This window comes from Homo sapiens, chromosome 1, assembly GCF_000001405.40.
Source record: "Homo sapiens chromosome 1, GRCh38.p14 Primary Assembly".
Taxonomy (NCBI): Eukaryota; Metazoa; Chordata; class Mammalia; order Primates; family Hominidae; genus Homo; species Homo sapiens.
The window spans coordinates 146,712,234-146,735,249 of NC_000001.11; the positions used below are offsets into that span (position 1 = coordinate 146,712,234).

General features: G+C 41.6%; 1 pseudogene across 1 annotated transcript in view; it reads left to right on the forward strand.

Annotated features, from left to right (window-relative positions):
• HYDIN2 (HYDIN axonemal central pair apparatus protein 2 (pseudogene)) overlaps nt 1-23,016 on the forward strand; it is a 335,703-nt pseudogene that overhangs the window by 225,902 nt on the left and 86,785 nt on the right. Inside the window, exons 28-31 of the transcript NR_103556.2 lie at nt 12,898-13,038; nt 16,605-16,724; nt 16,984-17,193; nt 19,800-19,937. The product of NR_103556.2 is annotated as an HYDIN axonemal central pair apparatus protein 2 (pseudogene) (transcript). The remainder of the gene's footprint in view (nt 1-12,897; nt 13,039-16,604; nt 16,725-16,983; nt 17,194-19,799; nt 19,938-23,016) is intronic.

The following is a 23,016-nucleotide window of genomic DNA, read 5'->3' on the forward strand; positions in this document are numbered from 1 at the left end:
AGTATTCTGTGGTATAATAATGTCAGAGGGCTAGGGGAGGCTGCTTTCCATAATAGAGACATGTCTTTAGTTGGCTTCCCCTTCTCACGTGGCAGAGCTAGACCATGCTGCTAGAGAAGGCACTGGGCCAGCCCATCTGTTTCCATCTGTCATTTGCTTCCCAATGTAGGATGATCAGCAAGTGTAGGACCACAAATCTAGACAATAAATATGGAAACATGGCAGGGACTTTGTGTCTGCACCCAGAGGGGCTTAGAAATATGCCCACTTTTAATATAATTTAAAGCAATATTATAATCTGCTCCCTTTAGAAACAGCAGTCAGGGGCTTGCCTAATCTGGAGCAGATTTGCGATGTGTAGAGTCAGAGGAAGGAAGGAAGGATGGATGAGAGGCAGGGGGTTTACAAAATGAGAAAAGCAAAGTTAGATAGCTGAGAGCAAGAATAGGAATTTGGGAAGCCACCTGATAAGATCTGACAAGTAAAGATGCATGGTTTGCATCAGATTATAAATTAGGAACAATGGAAATATGAGATTGGAACTGCAGGAGAAAATAATCTCAGCAATGAAATTAATTCACAGAGGCCACTAGCGCACACTCAGACCTTTGAAGTGCTGGATGTTCTCATAACTGGACCTCTGACCATGCAAGGCACCAGTGGCTACTGTGGATCATTTTCTCATTTTGATATCAGTGATTTATAAGGGTGATGACCAGCTTGCACCACTAAGAATATTGACATTTTCTTTCCATATACTTGAAATGTTTTCATTCCACTTGTTCATTCTGTAGTTGTTTATTGAGGGTAATTGTGCAGGACACTGTGCTAGGGAGAATAAAACCAATCTGTATATGTTAGCTTTCATCACGCAACAAAGTACCCGAAACATAATTGTCTAAACAGAAAATATGTGTTAGTTCTCATGAATCTGTGAATTGCCTAGGTAGTTTTCAAGTTGCCGTTTGCATCACATTTTTGAACGCCTCATTGGCCAAAGGAGTCAAGCCAAGCCCAGATGCAAGGCCTGAAGAAAATAGACTCCATCTGTTGATGGGAGGAGAAGCAAAGTTGTATTACAAACAGTTGTGCTTACTGGAATTGGACAGATTACTTTTTTACAAATAGTAGACCATCTGATATAACATTTGAGCAAAACAAGATCTTTATAACCCTTTTTACTACGGGGAGTTAACTACAGTACTCTTGACTAGAATTTCATTCAACAAATGTTAGGCTTGACTCTAAGCTTGGTATGGTGCCCAGTGCTGGAGACCGTGGTGAGACAGACAGACATGGCTTCTGCCCCTGCTGATGAGTAAATTACAGTGTGGGATGTAGAAGCATGGAGATGACCCCTGAACCTGGACCTGGGGGTCAGGGAAGATGTTCCGGTGAAAGTAACATCTAAGCTAATGCTTAAAGATTAGGTAGATGTTAACTGCTCACTGCCAGGAGGAAGAGGTGCATGAGAGCAGTCAAAGTGACTGCTGGGGTCAGTGCTAGTCCCCATGGCTACTATCCCCCTTCCTGTCATGCCTGCCCCCAGTGCTGACCATCACTGGCCCCACCTCATTGCTTCTGTATTCTGCATCATCATTGTCATCACCATCACCTGCTTCCGTTTGGCACCTACACATACGCTGCTCCCACAACAGACTTCTTCCCTGTCCCTGGGGAATCCTATTTCCTTTACAGCAGGGGTTCTCAACTCCCCAAGGAACAGTACCAGTTTGTGGCCTGTTAGGAACTGAGCCACACGGCAGAAGGTGAGTGGCGGGTGAGCAAGCGAAGCTTCATCTGTATTTACAGCCACTCCCCACCACTCGCATTACTACCTGAGCTCTTCCTCCTGTCAGGTATCCAGCGGCATTAGATTCTCACAGGAGCACAAACCCTATTGTGAACTGCACATGTAAGGGATCCCGGTTGCATGCTCCTTATGAGGATCTAATGCCTGATATCTGTCACTGTCTCCCATCACCCCCTGATGGGACCATCTAGTTGCAGGAAAACAAGCTCAGGGCTCCCACTGATTCTACATGATGGTGAGTTGTATAATTGTTTCATCATATATTACAATGTAATAATAATAGAAATAAAGTGCACAATAAGTGTAATGTGCTTGAATCATCCTGAAACCATCCCCCCACCACCCCACCCAGTCCATGGAAAAATTGTCTTCCATGAAACCAGTCCCTGGTGCCAAAAAGGTTGGGGACCGCTGCTTTGCAGGCACGTTTCCCCCACTCTTCTTCCATTCTTTCTCCCAGGCATAGTTAGACCATATCCTCCTCCATGAAGACTTCTGTATGCATCCAAGAAGAGTTAGTACCTCCCTCATTTGAATTCCAAAAATGATGGTAATCCTCACCAACCCCACACAAGAGCAGCTCACATTCATTGGACATTTGCTATGACCCTGGCACCATGGGGCTCATTATGTGAACTATGGCTCACAGCAATCAGATGCGGAGGGTTCTCTTACTAACACAGCCCCCAGGCCCCATAGTGCACAAGTGGGGAAGCCGGAATTCAAACCCAAGCCCTCTGACCCCACAGCCATGCTCAGAACCCCTGTGCACTGCCTGGCTCCCTGCTGGAACACTTCTACCCTAAAGCACAGCCACTCCTGTGGCTCTGACTCTGATCCACTGGCCTCTTAGCTCCTTGAAGCAAGGGTTGGGTTTCTCATCTTTAGAATCCTACAACACTGTAGTGGATTCCCTAGGAGAGCCGGAGAGTGTGGTTCTTGAGGTGATTTATTGAGGGAGGGCTCTCAGGAGAACTATAAGAAACTAAGGGAAGCAAGATAGGGCCAGAAGAAAACTAGGGGAAGATGTGATTTCAGAAGTCTCACCTCTGCCTGATCCCGTGGGGAGCTTTGGAGTGTAAATTACATCACAGTTTGTCCCACTCAGAGACAAGGAGGCTGGGCTCTCATAGCTGCCACCCCTATCAGTCACTCCTTCCTATAAGTCATACCCTAATGAGAGGGAAGGCAGCTCAGGGTGAGTGAGACATCTCCCATCAGGCCAGGGCAATGCTCCAGAGGAAGGTACAGCCACACCCACAGCACCTGGGGGCATCACCCTAATGAAGTGCACTGGCAGCATCTGCTGCAGTCATCAGTTTTAAAAAAATATTAAACAGCATATGCAGGCCCTTCTTGTCCAGCTGATTTCATCCTCTGTAGTGGACACTCCCAGAAGCCAAGTCTAATGAATCAATGAATTAGAAATCAATGTGTCTCCTGCAGGGCTGCCCACCCCTGCCACCTTTTCCCACAAGACTACACTGCGCAGACTTCAATGGGTGTCCAGCATCCACCATCCCATCTGCAAAGATCATGGAAGCTGCAACACAGAACATTAACTGAAATACAAGCTTGTTCATCAGGGTTTTATTTTAGCGCCACACTGCTTCCAGTGAAGAAAGGACAGGAAAGAAGTATGGTGGATTGTTTTTTTAACTTTGTAGCACAAAAGATTGTGGCGATCCTTCCCCAAGAGTTGAAAATAAAACATGAGGAGGGAAACCACTGCCCCCAAAGCCAGTGCTGCTGATGAGCAGGTGTCTGACATGCATGTGATTCTCTGGCAGCTACAGGGAACATTTCTTTCCTGGCTTCTCCCATGATTCTGATACGGGGAGCTCTGGGATTGGAACAGTATCGATTGTTCTTGTTTGCTATGCACTCCCTTTTCAAAATAACTGAATCTACTCCTGTTTGGGTCAGCATACCAGGAAAGTAATCACCTGTTCCTGAGGGTAAAAGGAAATCTGATCCAAAAAAACTCTACCAGCGTTCTATTTCCATATTTTGGAGCAGGTTTTCTGGTTTTAATAACGTAAAGTCCTCATTACAGTAAATGTTTCACTGTCTCCTGTGGCTCAAGGGGCAAGCACGGAGGGCGGCTCTGCCTTCCTCTATTGATTTCCAGAAAGACCTCTTACTTCCCAATTGTCCAGGTAGCATTGTCAACTGAGGTGTTGTTTTTCCTCAGGTATGAAGACCCTCTACAGCTTTGTATTTTTCCATTACAGAAATTCCCATTTGTTTTCTCTTTATGCAGCACATCCCACAGGGGTGCAAAGGCTGGATGGGTGAGTGCTATTATGTGGGGCAGCGAGCCGGCAAAGCCTCGCCAGGCGTCTCTGCTGACCTGGAGTGATTTCATAAGTGTTCAGAATTGTCCTCGGCTGATTTTCACTGTCCCTAGCTGTTAAGGCTGCAGTGATAGCCCCATATTAATTATCAGCTCCATCCTCAGCTGTCATGCTGCCATTCCTACCCACGGCAGCTCCTAAATCTGGCTGCCCATTAGAATTGCCTGGGAAGGCTGTTAAAAATCTAACTCCTGAGACCTGCTGAATTGTAATCTGTCAGAGGACAAGGTTCAGGAATCTTTATTTTAAGGAGCTTCCCGGGAGATTTGTTAGCACCCAGCCCAACATGCGTTCTCTGCCCCTAATGGAGTGGTTTCAGCCAGAGGTAAAGTCAGCTAGAGACATCTGGTCTGGAACAAGTCAAATGGAAGCTCAAGCCAAAAATGAAAAGAGCTTTTCCATACTCTGTGAATTCTCCATGCTTTCCCATCGCCACTCTTTATCCCAGGTTGACAGACAAGGTGCAGAATAGTCAGATTACCCTCTATGCTATTCAACTGTTCTCATTCAACATTCCACACACCCATCCATCCATCCATCCATCCATCCATCCATGCATCCATCCATGCATCCATCCATTCATTCAATCAACCAAACATCTGTTGAGCTTGGGCTGCATGTATAAGACCCTGTGCAATAGGGTATGTAAAGAGGGGACACCGTGGATCCTCCTTCCATACAGTAATAAGCCCAGCCAAGATCATGCCAGCCCAGTGTTTTCCCTTCTTTTTTTTTTTTTTTTTTTTTTTTTATGTTTCTGTCTGTGTGAAATGTTTTTTTTTTTTAATGTTTTTTTTTTTATTATACTCTAAGTTTTAGGGTACATGTGCACATTGTGCAGGTTAGTTACATATGTATACATGTGCCATGCTGGTGCGCTGCACCCACTAACTCGTCATCTAGCATTAGGTATATCTCCCAATGCTATCCCTCCCCCCTCCCCCGACCCCACCACAGTCCCCAGAGTGTGATATTCCCCTTCCTGTGTCCATGTGATCTCATTGTTCAATTCCCACCTATGAGTGAGAATATGCGGTGTTTGGTTTTTTGTTCTTGCGATAGTTTACTGAGAATGATGGTTTCCAATTTCATCCATGTCCCTACAAAGGACATGAACTCATCATTTTTTATGGCTGCATAGTATTCCATGGTGTATATGTGCCACATTTTCTTAATCCAGTCTATCATTGTTGGACATTTGGGTTGGTTCCAAGTCTTTGCTATTGTGAATAGTGCCGCAATAAACATACGTGTGCATGTGTCTTTATAGCAGCATGATTTATAGTCCTTTGGGTATATACCCAGTAATGGGATGGCTGGGTCAAATGGTATTTCTAGTTCTAGATCCCTGAGGAATCGCCACACTGACTTCCACAATGGTTGAACTAGTTTACAGTCCCACCAACAGTGTAAAAGTGTTCCTATTTCTCCACATCCTCTCCAGCACCTGTTGTTTCCTGACTTTTTAATGATTGCCATTCTAACTGGTGTGAGATGATATCTCATAGTGGTTTTGATTTGCATTTCTCTGATGGCCAGTGATGATGAGCATTTCTTCATGTGTTTTTTGGCTGCATAAATGTCTTCTTTTGAGAAGTGTCTGTTCATGTCCTTCACCCACTTTTTGATGGGGTTGTTTTTTTCTTGTAAATTTGTTTGAGTTCATTGTAGATTCTGGATATTAGCCCTTTGTCAGATGAGTAGGTTGCGAAAATTTTCTCCCATGTTGTAGGTTGCCTGTTCACTCTGATGGTAGTTTCTTTTGCTGTGCAGAAGCTCTTTAGTTTAATTAGATCCCATTTGTCAATTTTGGCTTTTGTTGCCATTGCTTTTGGTGTTTTGGACATGAAGTCCTTGCCCACGCCTGTGTCCTGAATGGTAATGCCTAGGTTTTCTTCTAGGGTTTTTATGGTTTTAGGTCTAACGTTTAAATCTTTAATCCATCTTGAATTGATTTTTGTATAAGGTGTAAGGAAGGGATCCAGTTTCAGCTTTCTACATATGGCTAGCCAGTTTTCCCAGCACCATTTGTTAAATAGGGAATCCTTTCCCCATTGCTTGTTTTTCTCAGGTTTGTCAAAGATCAGATAGTTGTAGATATGCGGCATTATTTCTGGGGGCTCTGTTCTGTTCCATTGATCTATATCTCTGTTTTGGTACCAGTACCATGCTGTTTTGGTTACTGTAGCCTTGTAGTATAGTTTGAAGTCAGGTAGTGTGATGCCTCCAGCTTTGTTCTTTTGGCTTAGGATTGACTTGGCGATGTGGGCTCTTTTTTGGTTCCATATGAACTTTAAAGTAGTTTTTTCCAATTCTGTGAAGAAAGTCATTGGTAGCTTGATGGGGATGGCATTGAATCTGTAAATTACCTTGGGCAGTATGGCCATTTTCACGATATTGATTCCTCCTACCCATGAGCATGGAATGTTCTTCCATTTGTTTGTGTCCTCTTTTATTTCCTTGAGCAGTGGTTTGTAGTTCTCCTTGAAGAGGTCCTTCACATCCCTTGTAAGTTGGATTCCTAGGTATTTTATTCTCTTTGAAGCAATTGTGAATGGGAGTTCACTCATGATTTGGCTCTCTGTTTGTCTGTTGTTGGTGTATAAGAATGCTTGTGATTTTTGTACATTGATTTTGTATCCTGAGACTTTGCTGAAGTTGCTGATCAGCTTAAGGAGATTTTGGGCTGAGACGATGGGGTTTTCTAGATAAACAATCATGTCGTCTGCAAACAGGGACAATTTGACTTCCTCTTTTCCTAATTGAATACCCTTTATTTCCTTCTCCTGCCTGATTGCCCTGGCCAGAACTTCCAACACTATGTTGAATAGGAGCGGTGAGAGAGGGCATCCCTGTCTTGTGCCAGTTTTCAAAGGGAATGCTTCCAGTTTTTGCCCATTCAGTATGATATTGGCTGTGGGTTTGTCATAGATAGCTCTTATTATTTTGAAATACGTCCCATCAATACCTAATTTATTGAGAGTTTTTAGCATGAAGGGTTGTTGAATTTTGTCAAAGGCTTTTTCTGCATCTATTGAGATAATCATGTGGTTTTTGTCTTTGGCTCTGTTTATATGCTGGATTACATTTATTGATTTGCATATATTGAACCAGCCTTGCATCCCAGGGATGAAGCCCACTTGATCATGGTGGATAAGCTTTTTGATGTGCTGCTGGATTCGATTTGCCAGTATTTTATTGAGGATTTTTGCATCAATGTTCATCAAGGATATTGGTCTAAAATTCTCTTTTTTGGTTGTGTCTCTGCCCGGCTTTGGTATCAGCATGATGCTGGCCTCATAAAATGAGTTAGGGAGGATTCCCTCTTTTTCTATTGATTGGAATAGTTTCAGAAGGAATGGTACCAGTTCCTCCTTGTACCTCTGGTAGAATTCGGCTGTGAATCCATCTGGTCCTGGACTCTTTTTGGTTGGTAAACTATTGATTATTGCCACAATTTCAGAGCCTGTTATTGGTCTATTCAGAGATTCAACTTCTTCCTGGTTTAGTCTTGGGAGAGTGTATGTGTCGAGGAATGTATCCATTTCTTCTAGATTTTCTAGTTTATTTGCGTAGAGGTGTTTGTAGTATTCTCTGATGGTAGTTTGTATTTCTGTGGGATCGGTGGTGATATCCCCTTTATCATTTTTTATTGTGTCTATTTGATTCTTCTCTCTTTTTTTCTTTATTAGTCTTGCTAGCGGTCTATCAATTTTGTTGATCCTTTCAAAAAACCAGCTCCTGGATTCATTGATTTTTTGAAGGGTTTTTTATGTCTCTATTTCCTTCAGTTCTGCTCTGATTTTAGTTATTTCTTGCCTTCTGCTAGCTTTTGAATGTGTTTGCTCTTGCTTTTCTAGTTCTTTTAATTGTGATGTTAGGGTGTCAATTTTGGATCTTTCCTGCTTTCTCTTGTAGGCATTTAGTGCTATAAATTTCCCTCTACACACTGCTTTGAATGCGTCCCAGAGATTCTGGTATGTGGTGTCTTTGTTCTCGTTGGTTTCAAAGAACATCTTTATTTCTGCCTTCATTTCGTTATGTACCCAGTAGTCATTCAGGAGCAGGTTGTTCAGTTTCCATGTAGTTGAGCGGCTTTGAGTGAGATTCTTAATCCTGAGTTCTAGTTTGATTGCACTGTGGTCTGAGAGATAGTTTGTTATAATTTCTGTTCTTTTACATTTGCTGAGGAGAGCTTTACTTCCAACTATGTGGTCAATTTTGGAATAGGTGTGGTGTGGTGCTGAAAAAAATGTATATTCTGTTGATTTGGGGTGGAGAGTTCTGTAGATGTCTATTAGGTCTGCTTGGTGCAGAGCTGAGTTCAATTCCTGGGTATCCTTGTTGACTTTCTGTCTCGTTGATCTGTCTAATGTTGACAGTGGGGTGTTAAAGTCTCCCATTATTAATGTGTGGGAGTCTAAGTCTCTTTGTAGGTCACTCAGGACTTGCTTTATGAATCTGGGTGCTCCTGTATTGGGTGCATAAATATTTAGGATAGTTAGCTCCTCTTGTTGAATTGATCCCTTTACCATTATGTAATGGCCTTCTTTGTCTCTTTTGATCTTTGTTGGTTTAAAGTCTGTTTTATCAGAGACTAGGATTGCAACCCCTGCCTTTTTTTGTTTTCCATTTGCTTGGTAGATCTTCCTCCATCCTTTTATTTTGAGCCTATGTGTGTCTCTGCACGTGAGATGGGTTTCCTGAATACAGCACACTGATGGGTCTTGACTCTTTATCCAACTTGCCAGTCTGTGTCTTTTAATTGCAGAATTTAGTCCATTTATATTTAAAGTTAATATTGTTATGTGTGAATTTGATCCTGTCATTATGATGTTAGCTGGTGATTTTGCTCATTAGTTGATGCAGTTTCTTCCTAGTCTCGATGGTCTTTACATTTTGGCATGATTTTGCAGCGGCTGGTACCGGTTGTTCCTTTCCATGTTTAGCGCTTCCTTCAGGAGCTCTTTTAGGGCCGGCCTGGTGGTGACAGAATCTCTCAGCATTTGCTTGTCTATAAAGTATTTTATTTCTCCTTCACTTATGAAGCTTAGTTTGGCTGGATATGAAATTCTGGGTTGAAAATTCTTTTCTTTAAGAATGTTGAATATTGGCCCCCACTCTCTTCTGGCTTGTAGGGTTTCTGCCGAGAGATCCGCTGTTAGTCTGATGGGCTTTCCTTTGAGGGTAATCCGACCTTTCTCTCTGGCTGCCCTTAACATTTTTTCCTTCATTTCAACTTTGGTGAATCTGACAATTATGTGTCTTGGAGTTGCTCTTCTCTAGGAGTATCTTTGTGGCGTTCTCTGTATTTCCTGAATCTGAATGTTGCCCTGCCTTGCTAGATTGGGGAAGTTCTCCTGGATAATATCCTGCAGAGTGTTTTCCAACTTGGTTCCATTCTCCACATCACTTTCAGGTACACCAATCAGACGTAGATTTGGTCTTTTCACATAGTCCCATATTTCTTGGAGGCTTTGCTCATTTCTTTTTATTCTTTTTTCTCTAAACTTCCCTTCTCGCTTCATTTCATTCATTTCATCTTCCATTGCTGATACCCTTTCTTCCAGTTGATCGCATCGGCTCCTGAGGCTTCTGCATTCTTCACGTAGTTCTCGAGCCTTGGTTTTCAGCTCCATCAGCTCCTTTAAGCACTTCTCTGTATTGGTTATTCTAGTTATACATTCTTCTAAATTTTTTTCAAAGTTTTCAACTTCTTTGCCTTTGGTTTGAATGTCCTCCCGTAGCTCAGAGTAATTTGATCGTCTGAAGCCTTCTTCTCTCAGCTCGTCAAAATCATTCTCCATCCAGCTTTGTTCTGTTGCTGGTGAGGAACTGCGTTCCTTTGGAGGAGGAGAGGCGCTCTGCGTTTTAGAGTTTCCAGTTTTTCTGTTCTGTTTTTTCCCCATCTTTGCGGTTTTATCTACTTTTGGTCTTTGATGATGGTGATGTACAGATGGGTTTTCGGTGTAGATGTCCTTTCTGGTTGTTAGTTTTCCTTCTAACAGACAGGACCCTCAGCTGCAGGTCTGTTGGAATACCCTGCCGTGTGAGGTGTCAGTGTGCCCCTGCTGGGGGGTGCCTCCCAGTTAGGCTGCTCGGGGGTCAGGGGTCAGGGACCCACTTGAGGAGGCAGTCTGCCCGTTCTCAGATCTCCAGCTGCGTGCTGGGAGAACCACTGCTCTCTTCAAAGCTGTCAGACAGGGACACTTAAGTCTGCAGAGGTTACTGCTGTCTTTTTGTTTGTCTGTGCCCTGCCCCCAGAGGTGGAGCCTACAGAGGCAGGCAGGCCTCCTTGAGCTGTGGTGGGCTCCACCCAGTTCGAGCTTCCTGGCTGCTTTGTTTACCTAAGCAAGCCTGGGCAATGGCGGGCGCCCCTCCCCCAGCCTCGTTGCCGCCTTGCAGTTTGATCTCAGACTGCTGTGCTAGCAATCAGCGAGATTCCGTGGGCGTAGGACCCTCCGAGCCAGGTGTGGGATATCGTCTCGTGGTGCGCCGTTTCTTAAGCCGGTCTGAAAAGCGCAATATTCGGGTGGGAGTGACCCGATTTTCCAGGTGCGTCCGTCACCCCTTTCTTTGACTCGGAAAGGGAACTCCCTGACCCCTTGCGCTTCCCAGGTGAGGCAATGCCTCGCCCTGCTTCGGCTCGCGCACGGTGCGCGCACACACTGGCCTGCGCCCACTGTCTGGCACTCCCTAGTGAGATGAACCCGGTACCTCAGATGGAAATGCAGAAATCACCCGTCTTCTGCGTCGCTCACGCTGGGAGCTGTAGACCGGAGCTGTTCCTATTCGGCCATCTTGGCTCCTCCCTCCCGTGTTTTCCCTTCTTAAAAGAGCAACCAGAGCTCATCTCAGAGCCTTCACCAGGCAAGAAAATAATTACATTGATTTTTTTCCATTGTGTTGATTTTTCTAAATATGCTAGATAATCCTGTGTTTTCATTTATAGTAAATGAAATAGACATAGACTATATCATTTACTATATTATATAGTAAATGACATAGAATTTTCCTTTAAACTACGCCTATTAATGAATACCACAATGTGATATCACCGTATGCTCATTTGAATGGCTAAAATGTAAAAGACTAAATACCAAGTGTGGATGAGAATGCAGACCAACGAGAACTCTCATACAATGCAGGTGGTAGTGTAAAGTGGTACAACAATTTTGGAAAACTGGTTGGCAGTTTCTTGTAATGTTAAATATACATATACCATACAACCCAGCAATTCGCTTCCAAGGAATTTACCCAAGAAGAATGAAAACATATGTCTACAAAAAGACTTGTACACAGATGTTCATAGCAACTTGATTCATAGTATCTAAAAGCTAGAAATAGTAAAGGTGTCCATCAACAAAAAGATGGGAAAACATCCACACTATGGAATACTGCTCCAAAGAAAGAACAGAATCATTGCTCCATGCAATAACATGGACAAATCTCAAAAACATCATGCCAAACAGAGGAAGTCAGACACAAATTTGTACATGTTTCCAATTTCATTTCTATGAAAGTGTGGGCAAATTAATCTCTAGTGATATTAAGCAGATGAGTGTTTGCACAAAGCAACTTTTTAGGATGATGGAAACATTCTGTTTATTAATGTGGTGATAGTTCCACAGATGTGTATACAACTCATCAAACTGTGCGCTTACAAATCACGAAGATGGTAGTGGGATCCCTGAAATTTAGGAAATGATACTCTAGGATCCCTGAAATTTAGGAAATGATACTCTAGGACATGGTTAGAGTGGACAGTGTCCTAAAAGAAGTGCAGATGAAGTGCTCTGAAGCTTCCAAGGGAGGGAGAATTTCTTCCGGTGGGAAGATAGGCCAGTGGTGGGAGCTTCACATAATAGATGACATTTGTGCTGAGCCTCTGAGTACAGATGGGGCCAGAATGAGTATATAAGTGAAATAGATTGAAATTAACATCAAGGGCTTGAGATAGGTTGGGGAGGGTCAGAGAGGGGTCCAGAAAAAGCCATGCACCAAGGGGAAACAGGAAGAATGGGGGTGACCCCACAACCTTTGCCTTTGTGACATCCAAAGGCCTTTTTAATCAGTGGAACCTGGACATATGGGCTTCAGCACCAGCTGGTACAGTTGCTTTTCCCCTGGGTTCCTCTGCTCAGAGAACTTGAGTGGCAGCACAGCTCATTGGTGGGACCAGGACTAGGGTGTGGCGAGCAAGGCACTGAGGTCACATTGTAGGAGGCAAGGTCATGTAAGAAACCCGAGCCTGCACTTCCAGGCCCCTAACAGAGAGTGCTTCCCAGGCCTCAGCTGAGTCTTAGCCCTGCTTTCTGGTGAGCTGGGAGCAGGATCCCCAGTGGCTCATTCCTTCATGACCATGCCGACTACTTATTCCAGGCCAGGCACTGGATTAGACACCATATTGGATACCAGTCCTCAGCGAGTCCACATCTAACAGGGATGGTAAAAATAAGTGTGAAAGGGGAAGCCCAGGGGGCTATGGACACTCAGAGGAAAGAAGTTGGGCCTAGACTGGTAGTCAGAAAACTTTTTAAGAGCAAGTGAAACTTTAGCTGAGATTTGAAGAAGGCAAGTTCAAGGGAGGGTGTAGGGTGGTCCCTACTAGATCTGCCTGGTCTAGGATTTGGAGTTTGGCCTTAGAAACTGAGAGCCCACTGAACACTGATTTGCAAAAACTGATGTCTCCTGTCTCCCCCTATTCCCTGTCCCATGCTTTGGTAGGTTTGTGACATTGCCAAAGAAGCCCTACAGTGCCCCACTGTCCCAGATGGAGTCCATCCCAGCAACCTCAGAGGCTGCCAGCCCACCAGCAATCCTAGTTACAGTAGAGTCCCCCGAGATGGATTTAAATGATTTTGTTAAGTAAGTGCAAAGCCAACATAGATTTTTTGTAGTAGCTTTTCTTTTCTTTACACGGACTTACATTCTCAATACTCATCCCTCATTGGTTCATTCATCCAGTCCCCAGTCAACAGTTTAATAAATGTCTTCTATGTGTAGGCCCCAGACTAGACATCTGGGATAGGGAGAGGGTACCATCATGAGTCCTGGGGGACTGGGCCCTTCCTATCATATTGTCCTCTCTGTATGTCCAAGGTCTACAGTCAGGATTGGGTCCAGGGTAGCAAGCAGGAAAGGATATATCAATTCACCAAACATTATGTCCTCACAATAAAATGCTCCAATAAATAGGGAAACAACATTGAGCACATAGAACACCCACATTGTCTGAAGAATTGCTGGAGCTTCCTAGGACTTTTTGTAAGTTGAACATGGGCTTGGTGGGCCAGTAAAAAAGGGTTGAGCCCCGTGAAAAATTGACCAGTTCAGTGGCCTAGACCACATGTTTGGGGGCATAGGGCAACAGGGCCCTGACCAGCTGACCTCTTGAGAAAGGTGTCCCTTGATTGAGAATCCCCCTTACGTTTGGGGGTGTGGTAAAGGGAGAAGAGGAAGACAGGGCTGTTATGCACCTGAGACTGTGTGGCGATGACAGCCCAATGAGTGAATCTCTGCATTTCATTAAACTTCCTAGGACTGTCCTTGTGGATGAAGATGCCAGGCCTGAAGAAAAAGAACTAAGAAAAACAAAAGCTTCCAGTGTGATCTCAGATGTACGGTGTCCTTTCCATGGGGAGGGTAGGCAGGTCAAGGGTCCTTCCCATAAAACAAAGGCAGAATCAGGAGCAGAGTGGCCAGTACAATGCTTGGGTTTAATTGGGACAAAGCCGTACAGCTTTACCCACATTTCTTCCCAGCCAAACACCCCAGAGCCAACACTCAGTGAGAGCCTACACTTGTGATGTTCCTACACCATAGATAGAGGATACTAAAGGAAAAATATTTTCTTAATAATTCTGTAGCAAAAGCAGAGGGGGCTTAAAAATTAATACCTTTAAATTCTCCTTCTAGAATGATGGCCTAAGTAAACTATTGGAGATACAAAGATGTGCATACAAAGATGCTTGTTACAACATTTTAGAAACAGCAAAAAATGAAAAAAAAAAATGGAAGATAAATTGCTGTATGTCCATGATGTGATGCAATCTTTTAAAATAGTGTTGAGTGGGATTTTCCTATGGTGTGGGTAGGAGTATGAATTGGCATAACCTCTATAACATACAACTTTGCAAGTAGATCAAAATTTAAAATGCATTGTCCCCCCTTCTAGAAATTATCCTCCAGATACACCTCTGCACTTGCATAAAGCATGTAACCATCCTTGTACACTGCAGCTTTGTTTGTAAAAGCAAGAAATATTGGAAACAACTTAATCCCACCAATAGGAGACCGTCTGAATAAACTAAATTACATCTGCACAAGGCAATACTATGAAATTCTTTTTTAAAAATGAGAAAGTTCTCTACATACTAATTTGGCACAATCTTTGATATATTAAGAAAAAATACCCAGTGCAAAACAAAGTACACTGTGTGCTACCATTTGTATAAAGAAAAAAAGTCTATGAAAGCAACCAACACTTAACTGAGCACTGACCTAAGCTTTTTTTTTTTTTTTTTTTTTTTTTTTTTTTTTTTTTTTTTGAGGCAGAGTCTCACTCTGTTGCCCAGGCCAGAGTGAAGTGGTACCATCTTGACCCACTGCAACCTCCACCTCCTGGGTTCAAGCAATTCTCGTGCTTCAGCCTCCCAAATAGCTGGGATTACAGGCACTTGCCATCATGCCCGGCTAATTTTTGTATTTCAGTAGAGACAGGGTTTCACCATGTTGCCCGGGGTGGTCTTGAACATCTGAGCTCAGGCAATCCACCTGCCTCAGCCTCCCAAAGTCCTGGGATTACAGCCATGAGCCATCGCCCCCAGCTAAGCAATTTTTTACATTAACTCTTTTACTTTTCCCAACACCCCTGTGAGGTGGATACCACTATCTTTCCCCATTTTACCAATGCAGGGACACGTCCATCAAGCAGTGGAGCTGGAAGACTCGACCATCTTGCTTGCTCTTAGCTACTGTGTTACCTCTCAAACAGTTACATAGATATCTTTGCTTGTGCATGGAATATCTCTGGAATTTAATCTTCATGAGGGCAGGAATTTTTTTTCTGTTTTGTTCATCGTCATATCCTCAGGATATAGAACTGGTTCTTAGTAAGTCCCCAGTAAATATCAGCTGAATGAAGAGGAATAACTAAATTCAACATATAGGAAACTGGACAGTGGGTACCTCAGGAGGGGAGAACCAGAGAACTGTAGGGATAGAAGTCTTTTTTTATCTTTTTACCATATATCCTTTTGAATATTTTAAATTTGTATCGTGTACAATCAACTTTCTAAAATACTTTAAGTGATGTTTGTGAAGAATATTCAGTCATATGGGAAGATGGCACTCATATTAGGTCAACTGAAAAATCAGAATACAAATATATATGCACACATAATACACTATATATACACACATATATATAATAATATTTATCTACAGTATAACCTGAGATGGACTTTTATTTCTTTCCTTGGAGCTTTCTATATTTTAAAAATTTTTTAGAATGAGTATTTGTGAGTATATAAAATATTTGTCTTTTAAATATTAATTCTTCTTTTTCTATTTTCAAAGATGCGTGTCATAGAAAACTCAAGAATAGGCCAGAAACAGTGGTTCACGCCTGTAACCCCAGTACTTTGGGAGCCAAGGCAGGAGGATGGCTTGAGGCCACGAGTTCAAGACCAGCCTGGGCAACATAACGAGACTCCAGGGTGTGTGGTGGTGCACGCCTGCAGTCCTGGCTACTTTAGGGAGGCTGAGGTGGGAAGGTCACTCGAGCCCAGGCATTCAAGGCTGCGGTGAGCTCTGATCATGCCACTGCATTCCAGCCTGGGTGACAGAGACAGACATCTTGTCTCAAAAATAAAATATATATGTACATATATATGTACATATGTGTACATATAAACTCAAGAATACAGAAAAATTAAAGCAAACATCCTCAAAATTCCCATCTTCTTTCTACCCCACTGAGAAAAATGCTACGAAATCCTTAGCAAACAACCTCCCAGATATTTCTATTTGCCAATGCAAATCTCTGAAGGAATTTACACACACACACCTTCAGACACATGAGGCATATGTAATTTTACATGAATAGAACTGCTTTTCACTCAATAATATGTTGTGCACATCATCCCTATCCATAAATATACATGCATTATCCTTCATGGATAGGTGTACCACACACACTTCATTTAAAGTGACCCCCTATTGATGGGCACTGAGTTGGCTTCCAAAGTTTTGCTGTTATAAATAATGCTGCAGTAAACATCCTCGTATGTACATTATAGTCACTTGCTCAATTATCTCCCTGGGAAAAAATGTACTATTTTTATAATCATATACAACATACTTTATTTTTCTGTCAATTGATGATCCATTTTGAATGCTTGCCAGCTTTTCCTCACATCTTTAATTTCTAGGAAATAAAAATTAGCTCTACTGAAATAGAAAGAATATACTCAAGCCAGAGCCAGGTGGAGGATCAGGAATCCCTACAGACCTGTGAACAGAATGAGATGCTTTCCATTGGGATAGAAGAAGTAAGTGACACCGTGTGATTCCTGACCTTATCAGACACTAACTTTACTTTCTAACTGAGCAGCTGCCCCACATTAGAAACTTAAATCTCACCAGAGCACTGTTACCATCATTACCATTATGTGTTTTCAGGGTGCTGGGCTACCTTCTATCAAATGAGTTAAAGACTGGAATTAATGTGTAAATTGACATAACTTTCACTTATCCTTGGCAGGCATTCATCCCAACAGCTGCTCTCTTACAGAATGACTTTCTCTGCAGGTGTTTGATATTTTGCCCCTGTTTGGAGTGTTGCAGCCACACAGTAGCCACCAAATATCGTTCACCTTCTATGGACACGCTAACATCATTGCACAAGCTAAAGCTCTGTGTGAAGTGGAAGAAGGACCCACCTACGAAATAACACTGAAGGGAGAGGCGTCCCTGGTCAACTATTCCTTTGACACCAAGGATATTCACTACGGATTACAGGTATCACAAACCATCGGGTAGAGATTTTCTGGTTTTGTCTTAAGCATCTTAAACAAATCTCTCCTGAACCCCAATCATCATAGTCTCGCCATCACCCCGTCCTTGATCTCCCATCAGCCTCCCTAACCCTGACCATCCTCCTGCTGCCAACTGTTTGCCAGATACTTACACTTGCTTTTCTTATCGTCTCCTGAAACTCAGCATGTTAGATGCTCAAGGTCACTTCTTCCCTTTCAATCCAGGAGCCTGTTCCAACTTCTGCATTTCTTTCAATAGCATTACCATTTTCTCCACCCTTGGGTTCACAATCTCCAAGGCTTTTCCGCTGCACTCTCTCCTTCACCTCTCCACATCCTTCTAAGCCTCCAGGGTTTGCTGACTCATCACCAGCGTCCCTCTCTGAGTCAGTTTTCTCTTCCCATTGCCACTGATATCACATTACAGGGTCTCATCGAGCCATGCCTAAATTATTACAGCAGTTCCTCCCACACTGTAATGTGCCTATGAATCACCTGGGAGTTTTGTTCAAGTGCAGATTCTGATTCAGTAAGTCCAGCGACATTTTCCAAAATGGTGTTGTCATCCTGTCAGTCCCTGACCAATTAATCCCAGCAGCATTTGGCAAAGCAATGTGATATTGACCAAAGAGCGTGGTTTTGTATTCCGGTTTTACTTCCTCTTTGTATTCCGGTTTTACTTCCTCTTCCTATTCCAGTTTTACTTCCTCCCGACTGCATGACCTTGGGCACATCACCTCTCCAAGCCTCAGTGTCCCTCATCTATAAGGTGGGAACGGAGTAGCAAGCCCATCCCACCAGGAGTTGTCATTGCTTAAAGCATCTATCTGGTCAGTGCTGTGCTGGGTCAGAGTTGGCTGTCAATTGTCATGAGTTCCTTTGGGTCAGAGCCCATTCCTCACCTGGGTGAGGCTATCCTAAGCCTCTCTATTAACTGGTGATCTTTACACTGGAAGTTTCACTTCCCATAATTCCCTCTTGTAGTCCATACATTTCACTGTGGCCAAGCTGGTCTACCCACCGGCCCCAGTGCACCCCAGCGCTTCATGCAGCTACACTTTGTCTTACCTTATCCCTCTCATCCTCCACTCTGCCAAACCCAAACCTTTACATCCTATAAGACCCAGCTCAGCTCCTTCTAGGGTTATCTTTTACTTTACATTCCCTTGGCACTTAATGATAGTCTTTGCCATAATATAATATACTTTCCCATTTTTGTTTTGGAATAATTGTCAATTAATTCCATCAGTACACATTCTCTTCCCAATCAGATTTTGTGTTATGCACTCGGAGACCATATCTCCTACCAAATTTCAATGAGGATTGAATCTCCATTACATAGCTCCTGCATGTATCATTACTGAATTGTATGCATGCATGTGTGTTTATAGATCAAAGATTGTGCCTAAAATCTGATTCACCCAACACCTACTGAGACCATCTCCATGATGCTGACCAAATAGAATTCTCTTTCCTTCGTCGTCTCCAGGGTCCTTTGGGCACTTGGTTTCGGCTCATCTCTGAGTATAGTATAGTCTTTGAAGCAGTCAGACCTCACCCTAGCTTTTCCTAAGGACCCCCAAAGTGGCCTGTTTGTGGTTATTGGGCCTGCTAACCCAGCTGGTGAATTATGTTAGCAAAATTCCAGGAAAAAGAACATGACTGGCCTGTTACACCCATGGTTCTCCATTTGAATGGAAAAGTTCATTCTAGAACATTCTAAACTCAAATCTTTTGTTTTTCTTACAGGACAGAATCCAGAAGGCAAATCTTTTTTTTTTTAATTTATTTATTTTAATTCTTTTTATTATACTTTAAGTTCTAGGGTATATGTGCACAACGTGCAGGTTTGTTGCATATGTATACATGTGCCATGTTGGTGTGCTGCACCCATTAACTTGTCATTTACATTAGGTATATCGCCTAATGCTATCCCTCCCCCCTCCCCCCGACCCCACAACAGGCCCTGGTGTGTGATGTTCCCCTTCCTGTGTCCAAGTGTTCTCATTGTTCAATTCCCACCTATGAGTGAGAACATGCGGTGTTTGGTTTTTTTGTCCTTGCGATAGTTTGCTGAGAATGATGGTTTCCAGCTTCATCCATGTCCCTACAAAGACATGAACTCATCATTTTTTATGGCTGCATCTCGCTGGGGCCTTACGAGCTTACTTTCTCACTATTCACAATAGCAAAGACTTGGAACCAACCCAAATGTCCAACAATGATAGACTGGATTAAGAAAATGTGGCACATATACACCATGGAATACTAGGCAAATCTTTTTAATGTAGAAAGCTTACTTTAAGATTCTCTATTACAAGTTCCTGTAGTGAAAAAACTGAGACCCAGGAAGGTGAAATGCTCAGCCCCACAGCCATACCTAAACTAAATCGGTTCTTAGAAGAACTAAGAGCCAGGTTTCCGGAGTCTAGTGCCCCAGTAGGCATTTGTTGTGATGCTGAGATGTAGATTGACCAGTATTTACATCAGGAGCTGTCACACCCTTATCCATGAGGCATGTTTCTGCACCTTTGTCACTATCAAAGCCGCATCCCAAGATGGAGTCACTCTTCTCCTTCTCTTCTCAAGCTGTTTGACCATGTCACAGAGAGGGAAATCACGCTGACGAACATGGGGAAAGTTGGCTTTGAGTTCAAGGTTCTGACTGACCACCAGTCTTCTCCAGACAACCTTCTCCCTGGAGTGCCACTAATCCTGCCTGTGTCTGTAAGTAAATGGTGGGAGGGGCCTGAATTCAAACCTACGAGCCCCACTCCGAAGCAGGTGAGTATTCACGACCAGGATTACAAGTGTGATTTTTTCTTTTTGTTAAAACTAAAGAACTCTCAGAAGCAGAAAAAAAAAAATAAATCCAAGCCACTTCGCTCATTTATTAAACAAATATTTATTTAGTCCCACAGTAACCAGTTTCCAGGCACCAGGGATACAGCAATCAACAAGACAGATGCAACCCATGGATTTTTTTTTCCATGATAATGAGACTAATTTATTTCCACCGATGTCTTCACGCTGCCCTTGTAATTCCCGAGGGCTTCCTCTCCACTGACTTCAGCAGGTGTGAAAACACTAGCAGACTGCGCTGAGCCAAACTGGTTTCAGAAGCAAACAGAGAAAGTGGTTCCTTGTTCATATTATGTTGATCTACCAGTTTTAAGGAACATTTGTTGAATTTTTCTCATTATGAAAATAGCACATAATTGTTATAAAAAAAGGAAAATATTTTTAAAGTGTAATTATTCATAATCTTGTAAATCCAAAGATAATGAGCACCATCATCTTTAATGATAAAGTCTGTTCTTCCCCTAAGTCATCTCACATATTTGGGTTTACTGCTGGTCTCTTTATTCTTCATTGCTCTGTTTGTCCCTACATTAATACTGTACTATTTTAGCTGCTATGGCTTTAGAAATACATCTTAATATCTGTTAGGTCAACTCCCCTTTTGGTTTTTTTTCCCAATTTGTCTTAGCTAATCTTTTGAATTCACTTTTTTTTTTTTTTTTTTTTTTAAGACCAGGTCTGGCTCTGTCACCTAGACTGGAGTGCAGACCTCGACTCACTGCAACCGCTGCCTCCTGGGCTCAAGCAATCCTCCCACCTTAGCCTCCCACATAGCTGGGACCACAGGCATGCACCACCACACCCAGCTAATTTTTGTATTTATTGTTTATTTTATTTATTTATTTTTTGTTTTTTAGAGACAGGGTCTTGCCATGTTGCCCAGGCTGGTCTTGAACTCCTGAACTCAAGGTGTCTGCCTGCCTTGGCATCCCAAAGTGCTGGGATTACAGGCGTGAGCCCCATCTCGCCCAGCCCAAATTCACTCTTGTGTTTTGTTTCTCTAATTTTGTGACTTGAATGCCTGCTTTTATTGTTTTTCTTAGTTAATAATGAAAAAATGTAAGACTATTCATTTGCCTAAGGACACCTTTAGCCTTACCCCTTATATTTTAAGAAAATTACAGATAAAAAAGTAGATGACAATTTTTGTGTGTTTTATACATGTTAATATTTACTATTATGATTTTCATTATTTTCTAAGTCGTCTTAAATTATAGTTTTACTTACAAATGTAATTTAAAATTTATTTTTCTTTTTTTAATTTCCAAATGATTATGATTTTTGCTTTTGTTACTTATATTGTTACCAATATTGAGGTTTTTTTGAATCACGATCAGATAATATGGCCCTCTAAATTCCTACTTAGTGAATTTATTAATATATTTTAGTGACCTAAAGTAATTTTTAATACTAATAAATGTTTGAAAATAATGTTACCTGGGCTATAGAATCCAGATTATCATATCTGGATTCTCTACTAAATTAACCCAAATAATTATAACATTAAAATCTTCTATATCTTTTTCTGTTTAATTTTTCTAAGACTCAAGAGTGGTATATAAAACTTTTGTCCATTTCTCTATTGTTTTCTACAAATACATACACCTTTTTGTTTATACCCTTTCGTTTCTGTGTTGACACAGAAGATCTCATGACTATTAAGTGTTCATCATGGACTGTGTGTTCTGTCTACCTTCAATTGCCTTCTTGTTCCCTTTGAATGCTCTTCTTTGAATTCCCCTTTGTTTGGTCTTAATATTGTGATTGCTGCTTTCTTTTTGCCTTACATAATTTGCCCATAGTCTTATTTCATTTTGTTTTAGGCTTATCATTCATAAAACATACTTATTTGGATTTTATTTTTTAATCTTCTCTGAGAGTCCTTAAGTTTCAATAGGAACATTTAACACATTCTTATGATTAGCAAAACTGAAATGCTTGCTATTATTTCTTTCATCGTATCTTGTCTATTTTTTAAATTTACTCAGTGTTTTCTTTCTATTCGATCTTTTTATCATAATTGCTATGTTTTCCTTGCCCTTTTTCTAAAGATTTTTAAGCATTTGAATTTACATTGCTGCAGTTATTGTAAATTGATAACAACTCTATAGAGAATAATTTGGCCTTATCTATCAAAATTACACTTTGACCTAGAAATTTCATTTCTAAGAATTTATTCTACATACACGTTCCCACATTTGCAAAATGATGTGTTTATAAGATTATTTCCTATATAATCTGTAATGGCAATAGCAAAAGACCAGAAACAAACTAAATGTCTATCAGTAGGAAACTAGTTTTTAAAAATATGTTAAAACTATGTAATGGAATAATATGTAGCAACTAAAAAGGATGGAGCAGCTCTAGAAGTACTAATATTGAATTAATCGTAAAATATATTGTTAGGTAAAATGAAAAGAAAAGGAAGACGAAAAACACTCTGTATGCTACCATCTGCATTTAAATATTATATATATATATATATTGCTGGATTCACTCAGCTAACATTTTACTTACAATTTTTGCACCTTTGTTAAGTGATCGTTGGTTCATAAATTTCCTTCTTCATGCTGCATTTGATCAGTTTGGATATCAGAATAAATAAATGGGCATTTCTCTCTCTTCTATTTCCTGAATGGGTCATAAACTGAAGTGATTATCTGTTTTTGAAGGAATAGCAGACCTTGCTTCCAATGCCATATATTCCTTTGTCAGGGTAATTGTCTTCATTTTTCAGCTTCTGTATAGGATACAGATCACTCTAAGGTTTTTGAGTTTTGTTATTCATATTTTTCTAGGAAATTGTTAATTTCACAAAAATGTTTTAATATATTGACGTAAAGTTTTCTCATAATTGTATATGATTTATGTACTATTTTACTATATATTTATGAACGATTTTTCTTTTTTTTTTCTCTTTTTTTTTTTTTGAGACGGAGTCTTG